At 37.0% G+C, this 10,969-nt stretch overlaps 1 protein-coding gene across 5 annotated transcripts in view; it reads right to left on the bottom strand.

Annotated features, from left to right (window-relative positions):
• SGCG (sarcoglycan gamma) overlaps positions 1 to 10,969 on the bottom strand; it is a 164,655-nt gene that overhangs the window by 15,127 nt on the left and 138,559 nt on the right. The window lies entirely within an intron of this gene.

The following is a 10,969-nucleotide window of genomic DNA, read 5'->3' as shown; positions in this document are numbered from 1 at the left end:
CAATGTAATTTGCAAGATTGACCTAGTAGCCGCTTACATACAAACCTTGCATTAAAGCAAAAGATAACATGCTTTTAGCATAAACATTTATGAATAATTATGAATAATTATATGCTCATAATGAGTAACAAGGAAAAATTTCTAGCAAGGAAACAACCAAAATGGACCTGAAGATGTACAAAACTTGAAAAGAGAAACTTCATTAAATACATTGAAGTGGAAGTGTAAATAATCCAACTTCCCCAAAATGTACTGGCTCTTTCATTTCATATGTGAGTTTACACCAAACCTTTGATTGCTCTTACACACACTGTTTGAAAGAAAAAGGAGAGGTGGGTACTTAGACCAAAATGGAACTTTCTTAATTTGATAATAGGTATTAATATTTACCAAAAACCTATAGCAGACATAATTTCATTTAAAAAATTTAGAAGCATTTCTCAAAGTCAGGAAGTAAACACAGATGTCCATCGTTACTCTTTCTAGCCAACATTTGTCCCAGCCAAAGTAACAATACAGGGATCTGAGAAGTAAGAAGTATAATAATAAAAAGGATGACTCTTTTTTCGGCACTATCATCATCTTAATGGAAAAATCAGTTGAGTTCTACAATCAAAATATTAAAACTAAGCTGGGTATGGTGGTGTGCATCTGTAGTTCCAGCTACTTGGGAGGCTGAGGCAGAAGGATCATTTGAGGCAGAAGGATCATTTGAGCCCAGGAGTTCAAGGCCAGCCTGGACAATATAACAAGACCCCATCTTCCTCTTTCTCTCTCTCTCTCTCTCGGCATATGTATGTATTTTTATATACATATATATGTAAACTAATAACAATGATCAGTAAAGTTGCTGGCTTAAAAACTATCATGAAAAAATCAATAATAATCACTTTGAAAATTTAACAGAAAAAAGAACCCATTCTCAATAGAAACAAAAACTATAAACACCCTGGTAATGAATTCTAATAATTATGGGCCAAACCTAAATGGAGAATATCATAAAATATTAAAGGACATATAAAAGGCTGTGTGAATAGAGAGATATACCATATTTATGGACAAGAGACTTCACGATTATAAAGGCATGAATTCAGTGTAATTCCAATAAAAAAAAACCAGGAGAGTTTTTCAAAAAACCTGAAAAATTGATTTTAAAATTTACATGAAAAACAGTCCAGGCATGGTAGTTCACACCTGCAATCCCAGCACTCTGGGAGGCCAACGTGAGTGAATCACTTGAGGTCAGGAGTTTGAAACCAGCCTGGCCAACATGATGAAACCGCGTCTCTACAAAAATACAAAAATTAGCTGGACATGGTGGCATGCACCTGCAATTCCAGCTACTCAGGGCGCTAAGGTGGGAGAATCACTTAAACCCAGGAGGTGGAGGCTGCAGTGAGCTGAGATCATGCCATTGCACTCCAGCCTGGATGACAGAGTGAGACTCTGTCTCAAAAAAAAAAATTACATGAAAAATAAATGTCTAAAAACAGCCAATACAACTCTGAAGAAGACATGGTGGGGACACTTGCCCTAGCAGGTACCAGATGCATTGTACAGCTATTAGGGAGATACTGGTTTAAGAAGAAAAAAGCCAGAACAACAGACGAGAATAGGGCACCCATTAAAAATAGCTTTATATATGACAAAAATAGCATTACGGATAAAGAAGGAATGGACTGACTTTTGAGACAACTGGGTATTCCCACTCAGAAAGCAAAAGAAAATTATTTGCCTACTTCACATCCACATGAAAAATAACTTCTTGTCTGATTAAAGAACTGAATACAAAAACAAAAATGTTTTTGAAAGAACTCATTCCCTCCTTAGTGCCCAAGCAGTGGTTTCTAAAACACCCAAGTTCCTGAAAGTTTATTTTCATAGAATACTACAAGGATAAATTAACTTTCATACTGGCCAAATACTCTCCAGAGAAAGATCAGTGTCTATAAATTCATGATTAACCAGTGAAGCATTCACGATCTTCAGCAATCCACTTCTTGTTAGACTTGACCACAACATAATGTAACATTACACATAGGTGTAATGTTGACATTTATAGAGACCCATATGTGGGTTTTTATTTTTATTTTCTCACTTCTCTACGGAATGTTTTTGTACATAAAAACTTGTGTTTTGGTTTAATAATGAACTATGCAAAGATACTACTGTCTATATGTAGTTGTATTTACACAATAAATGCCTGCATTTTAATAGTTATGTATTTATGATATTCTTTATGATTTATGACAATGATGAGCCTTGAAATTAAAGTATTTCACTTGAATTTATGGAATCCATGCTTTTAAATACAGATATAATTTGATACATTGATATTAATATTATTGCCCTATATTTCTTCTCCCATGCATCTGTACTGACTTCTAATATTTTCTTTGAATTGAATCACCTTTCATTAGAACCTTGAAAAAAACCCATACAGTTCTGTAGAACCTATCTCCTAAAAGATGCATAACAGGGCATAGTTCTAAGTACTGCCCACAGCCAGTGCTGGCACCATCCCACAGTAATCCAAATCACTCCTGGGATTTCATTATTTCTGTAAAGTGTACTTCTGTCTTGAAAAAAGATAACTTTTTTTAACTCACGAAAAATATAAAATACACTTCTAAGCTCATCAAGACTGTACTTCACAGAAAAAAAGACTACTAATATCTGAGGTCTACAAGGGAATGGAATGACACTGCAATGAACAGAAATTTGTGAAAGATTATGTTGCACTATAGAGTAACTAATGTCACTCAGATAAGATGGCTATGATTAAACATCTATGACATACCCAATTCAGTCTTCAGGGGAGTCTCAGACTTTTAATTACTGCAGAAGTCAGTGAACTATAAAAGTTCAGTTTGTCCTTAATACCTCTGTTTCAGTAACTTTGTTTAGTATTTTGCATCTTACTTGTTAATCTTAAAAGGAATTAGAAGCTTCTGTTTGTTAAGAAAAAATACTAAATCTTAAAAAGTTCTGTTTAGCTAAAAGAAAATTAAATCTAATATATTTGTAAGTCCTTCTTGAAAAGGGCAACTTATACATTTACATTTGGAGTATTACTTTTCACATAATGTATTTCACATTCTGGATTTAACAGCACTTTATAGCTCAGGAGCCCAAGATGTCATCAGTGAATTCTTGTATGAGCACTGACTGTGCTCTTCTGTTACTGGATGAAACTTTCAATCCTGAAACTGTTTCCAGTTGTTGAATTGATGATATGTACTTTTTTTTCTGACATTTTGTATTTTTTTCCTTTTTCTTGGAATTGCTAGAATTAAGGAAAATAAGCCACACCATAAGTTGTCAGTTACCAGAAGGAATAAATTGTTTTCATTGTTCAAGTTAAGAAGACTTAAGATATTAACTTGTGACAAATAAAATATACATACTTGGAACTAAGGATGTGATTATGCGAACAGTGTTAGATCACTTCAGTGATCACTTGTATTTATAGACATTGATTTTTATCAATGAGCTGTATAAAACCATGAAAACAACAGGAATTTAAAAATTCCTATGAGACTACTTTCAGACCACTACACAAATACAGTTAAAAACTTAGATTAAGTGAATAATTTCCTAGGGAAATACAGTTGGCCAAAATCAACTCCCATTAAAGTTAGAAAGCTTAAACACAATTTTCCATAAAAGAAGAAATACACTATTAATATTAAAACACTGTCTTTAAAAATTTCATCAGGCCCATATGGTTCCAGAGAAAATTCCATCAAACCTTTAGAGACCAGAACATCCCAATACTCCACAAATTATTCCAGAACATTGAAAATGAGGAAAAACTTCCTAATTATTGAACCAAGAGTAACAGGGTTACTTAAACTTTATAATCATAGCATAGCCAGGCACAGTGGCTGACACCAGTAATCCCAGCACTTTGGGAGGTGAGGTGGGAGGATCACTTGAGGCCGGGAGTTCAAGACCAGACTGGGCAACACAGCAAGACCCTGTCTCACAATAATAATAATAATAATAATTGTAGTGCATTCCTGTAGTCCTAGCTACTTGGAGGCTGAGGTGGGAGAATCGCTTGAACCCTGCAGCTGGAGGCTGCAGTAAGCTGAGATCGTGTTCTTGCACTTTAGCCTGGGCAGGCAGCAGAGCAAGAACAAAAAGAAATGCAGACTAATATGAGTTATGTGTATGATATTTCATGGCCAAAGTAGGATTTATTCTCAGAATGCAAGATTGGTTCAGTATTAGAAAATCCATTAATGTAATACCCCATATTAATATATCTAAGAGACATACATGACTATCTCTGTAATTACTAAAGACTGTCTTACTAAATTCAATACCCATTCAACACAAAATAGAAATTGATATGTGCTTTCTTTATAAAACACACATTCACATCATTTTGGTTAATGGAGAAATACCAGAGGCATTTCCACTTTGACTGGAAAAAGGCAGTGATGCTTACTATCTCCATTTCTTTCTCACATTGCATTGAGGACATTGGGAAATCCAATTAGCCAAGAGAAATTGATTAGAGATATTATACTTGGAAAATAAGGTGTAAAACTATACCTATTTGCAAATGATCTGATAGTATACTTGGAAAATCCCAGTGAATCAATCATCAAATGGATCCAAACCATAAAAGGTTTAGTAAGGTAGTGAGATATAAAATTAACACACAGGAATCAATAGCCTTCATATCTAAAACAGTAACAGGGAATAATGATGATGTAATAAACCTCCTTTTAATAGCAACAAATAAATGTGGAAAACACATATGAAGAAAACTTTTCAATGCTCCTGAGAGGTATAGAAGTAGCTTTGAACAAATGGAAAGACACCCCCTGTTCTTGGGTAGATGACTCAACACAGTAAGTTGTCAGTTTTCCCTAAGGTAATTTAAAAACTTAATATAATCCTAATACAAAATAAGTTTTCTGGAAGTCGACAAGTTAATACTCAAGTTCATGTGCAAAAATACATAACCAAGAATAGGCAGACTAATGTTCAATGATGTACAAAGTCTTGTGTGTGTGTGTGTGTGAGCACGTGCACGCCTGTGAGCACGTGCAAGCCTGTGAGCACGTGCACGCATGTGTGCACAACTAGTCCTACCAGACATTAAAATATCTTCTCTGTAATCCCAGCACTTTGGCAGGCCAAGGCGAGTGGATCATCTGAGGCCAGGAGATCGAGACCAGCCTGGCCAACATGGCAAAACCCGGTCTCTACCAAAAACAAACAAACAAACAAACAAACAAAATACAAAAATTAGCCATGCATGATGGCAGGCTCCTGTAATACCAGCTACTCAGGAGGCTGAGGCAGGAGAATCGCTTGAACCCAGGAGGCAGAGGCTGCAGTGAGCTGGGATCCTGCCACTGCACTCCAGCCTGGGCAACAGAGCAAGACTCCATCCGCTCCCCTCCCCGCCGCCAAAAAAAAAAAGCCTATTTAGTTAACAGACTCCTTACTGGCTCATGAATGGAGAGACCGGTGCAATAGAATTACAATTGCAGGAACAGCCCCAAGTGTATAGAGACATTTGGTGGTAAAGGTTGTATTTCAAATCACACGGGAAAAAGTAGAGTTTGTAATAAATAATCTAGTTGCTGGCACATCTGGTTGGCCAACTGGAAAAGATAAAATTAGAATTAGACCTCACACCTTATACCTCATACCTCACACAATAATCAACTCTAAGTGGATCAGAGGTCTAATTGTAAAAGATAAAGCCATGCAAGAAACATGTTAAATTCAAACTTAAAATCCAGATACAATAAAAAAGATTAATAAACATGAGTATGTAAGCATTAAAAAGTTTGCACAGCATAAAGTACAATAAGTCAAAAACCAACTGAAGCTGGGAAAAATTATTTAAAACATATATCAGGGATGAAGGGCTAATATTCCCAATATTTAAAGAAGTCTTAAAAATTGAGAGGAAAAGTATTTTTAAAAAGTAGAAAAAGACAAACAATTCACAGAAAGGAATACAAAAATGGCCTTTAAACATATGAAAAGTTGCTCCACCTCACTCATATTAAGAGAAATGTAAACTATAATGAGATGTAATTTCTAATCTATCAGATTGGCAAAATTTAAAATATTTAAAACACATTGTGTTGGGAGCCATGGGGAAAGGAAAATAGAATTTATTGTAACAATGCTAGTGTGCAAATTGGTATACCTCAATGGAGGGGAAAGTCACCGAAAGGGGAATTTGGCATTATCTGAGTAAACAATATGTGCATTTATCTTTTTCACCCATGGATTCCTCTTCCAGGAATTTATCATGGAGCTATATCTCCAACAATATGAAAATTTACCTGCACAAGCACATTGTAAATAAATCAGGTGCCCATATATAGGGGAGCAGTTGAAAAACCTCTGATACGTGCATACCTGGGAACTTGTATGTGATTTCCGGAGCTCTTTCCTGGCATATGCCCTCTTCTCTGATCCTGTGCCCCACAGACTCCATTAGCCTCAACTCCCCACTCTCGGATCTCTTTCTCCTCCACTCCCAGAGGTTCCCGTGCACTGACTGGATTCCCCTTCCCTGTGCCCTGATTCTGAACATGCCTGTGGGCAGAGAGCTCGGGCAAGTGTAGGGCTCACCTCATTAGTTTCTGTCTTGTTTTGCACTTCGTGCTATCCAGTGTCTGAAAGTGGTTGTTTCATATATTTGTCAAGTGTTCTCCTGGTTACCAGAGATGGTGCATCCAGTCCCAGTTACTTCATCAGGGGCAGAAGAGGACTGTTGCCCTGAACTGCCAGGCTGGGAGCTTGCAGGGGTTCCCCTTCCCAGATCCTTTTTAACAATCTCCTTCTCCCACTTTATAAAGAAAGACATGCTCATTGATTCTGAATCGATTATGATGTATTACACTGGGGTAGAAATACTTCCAGGGGTAATGTGCAAGGGAAAATTAAAAAATTGGTGACAGAATTGACAAATTGAATGACTACAGTGATTACGAGGTAATCATTTGGCAAGTTACACAGTTTCTAATTCTTTACTTTCAACAAAAATTGAAGAAAGACCTAATGAATTGTCGCCGATAGTCATTACAAATAACTTTTAATGGTGTATATTTAGGGAAGAGTTCAGAACGTAGAGTGACTTTTTAAAAAATAAAACTTTTTGATTCATACCTACTTACTTATGTGAACAGGCTCCTTGGGACATCTACTTAAAAAACAGGAAAGATATTGATGCCTGATCTTGACTCCTTCTATTAATAAGCTATATTTATTAGCAGATCTATCAAATAGTTTTTAAAAAGTTCCAACCATTCACTAAAAGATGTAGTTTTATACAATTTTACTTTTTGTTACTATCAAAAATCTTAATATATTGATTTTTTCTTTTAAAAATTATTTTTAATTGATATGTAATAAATGAACATATTTATGGAGTACAGAGTGATATTTTGATACATATACACAATATGTAATAATCAAATCAGAGTAATTGGCATATTTATCACTTCAAGCATTTATGATTTCTTTATGTTGGGAACATCTGAAATTCTCTCCTTTAGTTATTTGAAAATATACAATAATGGGAGGAGGAGAGGATAGGGAGGGGCTGGCTAATAGATACAAAATTACAACTTACATAGGAAGAATAAGTTCTAGTGTGCTATAGCACTGTAGGGTGACTACAGCTATACTGTTTTGATCAATTGTTTTCTCCTTAAATTATGACTCTATCCAAAAGAAATTTTAAAAATTCTATAGTCACTAGAAGTAATTATATATATAATTATATAAATATATTTCTTGTGGAGAAATAGGATAGAGTGATCAATGAAATACTGTCAATCACTAAGTAGTGTATATTGGGAAAAAATTTTGGGTAAGTGAACTGTAAGTATTAGGTCAAGGACAAAAAGAAAACTTTTCTGACTCCATAAGAAGAGCTTGTTTGTATGTTTTTCAGTTCTTTGATGGTGGGCATCAAATATCCATGCTTCTTAGATTCCATCCGTACGTTTTAAAAAGTAATGAAAATAATTTTATTTCAAAATGATTTATGTTATTTAAACCATAAAAGGTCATCATTGCTAAACTGACTTGGTAAATATTTCCTTTTATCATCAAGTAGTGTTCCCATTGATTTTTTTTCTTTTCTTTTTTTTTTTGAGATGGAGTCTTGCTCTGTTGCCCAGGCTGGAGTGCAGTGGTGTGATTTCAGCTCACTGCAACCTCTGCCTCCCGGGTTCAAGCGAATTCTTCTACCTCAGCCTCCCAAGTAGCTGGGATTACAAGTGTGCACCACTATGTATGCCTGGCTAATTTTTCTATTTTTAGTAGAGACAGGGTTTCTCCATGTTGGCCAGGCTGGTCTCAAACTCCCGACCTCAGGTAATCCACCCGCCTCGGCCTTCCAAAGTGCTGGGATTACAGGCGTGAGCCACCGCGCCGGACCCCATTGATTCTTATTAATGCTATTTCTTTCCTAATTTTGATTCTGTCTGCTATTAATATCGCGATGCCTACTTTCTTTTGGTTAGCATTTCCCTGAACTTTAGGCTGCTCCAAGCCCCATCTTCACCATTCCCTGGCCCAGCCCTGGGATCAGCCACTTCTCTAAGAAGTCCCGGTTCCTTGGAGAATGGTATGAGAAACAAAGTTCTGGGGGCCAGTGATTTTATTTTAATTACTTCATGTCTCATTTCTATAATTTCTATTTTGTTATTTCCCAAATCTGCCATTTTTCAAAATATCTTGTCTTTGTCTTACATTTCTATTCATTTTTTCCCTCATTTCTATTCATTTTTTTCCTCATTTGAGCATTTTATTTATACTTGTTCTAAAAATCTCTTTGCTTTGCTCTATGACATAACAGTTCCAGGAGATTATTTGTAGCAGCTGCTAATTCTAATTCTTCTCCATGGTAGTTCAATTCCTTTTTTTTGAGATGGAGTCTCGCTCTGTCGCCCAGGCTGGAGTGCAGTGGCGTGGTCTCGGCTCACTGCAAGCTCTGCCTCCTGGGTTCACGCCATTCTCCTGCCTCAGCCTCCTGAGTAGCTGGAACTACAGGTGCCTGCCACCACACCCGGCTAATTCTTTTGTATTTTTCGTAGAGATGGGGTTTCACCGTGTTAGCCAGGATGGTCTTGATCTCCTGACCTCATGATCTGCCCGCCTCGGCCTCCCAAAGTGCTGGGATTACAGGCGTGAGCCACCGCGCCCGGCCCTTTTTTTTTTTTTTTTTTTTTTTAGTAAACTAGTCATTAGCAGGTATTGTTTTCCTTAAGTGTCTTTATGTCATGTGTGATGGGATAACTTCTTCAATGTCGTTTCTCTCTGTTTTTAAATGGTTCTATGAGTTTCACAGACTTTGGTGCAGTTTTTACTGTTAATTTGCCACCTCGGAGTTCCTATACCGTGAAGTAGTATGCGTTTGCTTCTACCTCGGCCAGGCAACGGCTTGCAGGTCATGATTTCTTGTGGGTAATTTTTCAACCCATGGCCTAAAATAGCAATCTTTCTTGTGACATCGTTGGGCTGATGGGCATATTGTGTGAAATACCTGATTCATGGGAGGTCAGGATTTCGGAGGTTTCTCAGCCAGGGTGTTTCATGCACACTGAACAATCACTTGGAATCTCACTCCCACATCAGCATTAATGTCTCAGCAGCTAGTCTCTATGTATCCTGATTTCTCTATGAGTAGCTTAGCTTAACTCTTCCTCTACTCTGACCATGAGCTGCCTCTTTATTGTTGGGACCTGGGAATTACCCTTTCTTGGTTTCTAACTGAGCTTAGTATTTATAAACACTTACTAGGTAAACTTTCGTATTTGCAAGTGCTTGCAACAGGTGCAAATGTTTCCATCCACACAGTAGTATATGTGTATCTTCCTTAGATAAGTAGATGAACAGACGTGGAAATAATAACTTACTTAATTGACATCACATCCTTATGGTGTTACACAGAATTCAACTCCTCCCTTTTCTGGGGTATCATCCCAGATTACCCTGGGAAGATTTTATATTTATTTGCCTATGCCTCCAATAGAAGTTGTACTTTTATCATAGCAGTTAAATATACTTTTCTAACTTGTTTGCAAGTTTCTTTTCTCAATAGACTGTAAACTCATTGAGGTCAACGACCATGCCTTTTATATCTGGCACATAAACACTTTAATACACTTTTGCTGACTTTTTAAAAAAGAATGAATTACATCATGTGTGAATGCAAGGTTGCTTTAAGGTAGTTTGTCAGCGTTCATACTTTCCTTGCAAATGATTTTGCCATAAGAAATGTAAATCTAAGGCCGGGCACGGTGGCTAACGCCTGTAATCCCAGCACTTTGGGAGGCCGAGGCGGGCAGATCACGAGGTCAGGAGGTCAAGACCATCCTGGCTAACACAGTGAAACCCCATCTCTGCTAAAAATACAAAAAATTAGCCAGGCATGGTGGCAGGCACCTGTCATCTCAGCTACTCAGGAGGCTGAGGCAGGAGAATGGTGTGAACCTGGGAGGTGGAGCTTGCAGTGAGCCGAGATCGCGCCACTGCACCCCAGCCTGGGGACAGAGTGAGACTCCGACTAAAAAAAAAAAAAAAATATATATATATATATATATATATATATATATATATATATATATATATATGCCAACTAAGATATTCCAGAATCTTTTTACTGTAATCAGGCCAGGAATAGTAATGCTGCTGGAACCAGAAATAAAAAGTGGAACATAGTTGATGGCAAGAAGTTGCAGAAGAAGAAGATATGACCATCATATAATCAGTCAGAGGCATCTCAGTGTAAATCAAAGAATCAATCTCTCAAGGATCCGCTGGGTGGTGGAGACAGCAAACTGGATGTACATGGGCTCTGGAGTCAAAGCTGGATTCGATTATGAGTGGCTACCTTTTTAGTTTTGTGACTTACAACATGGAACTATCTAGATCTGAGTTTCTGCCTTTATAAAATGGGGATAAAATTGCCAAT

The sequence above is a fragment of the Homo sapiens genome, chromosome 13 (genome assembly GCF_000001405.40).
Source record: "Homo sapiens chromosome 13, GRCh38.p14 Primary Assembly".
NCBI classification, from domain to species: domain Eukaryota; kingdom Metazoa; phylum Chordata; class Mammalia; order Primates; family Hominidae; genus Homo; species Homo sapiens.
Note: the sequence above shows the minus strand (reverse complement) of the source record. Positions and strands in the feature narration are given on the sequence as shown.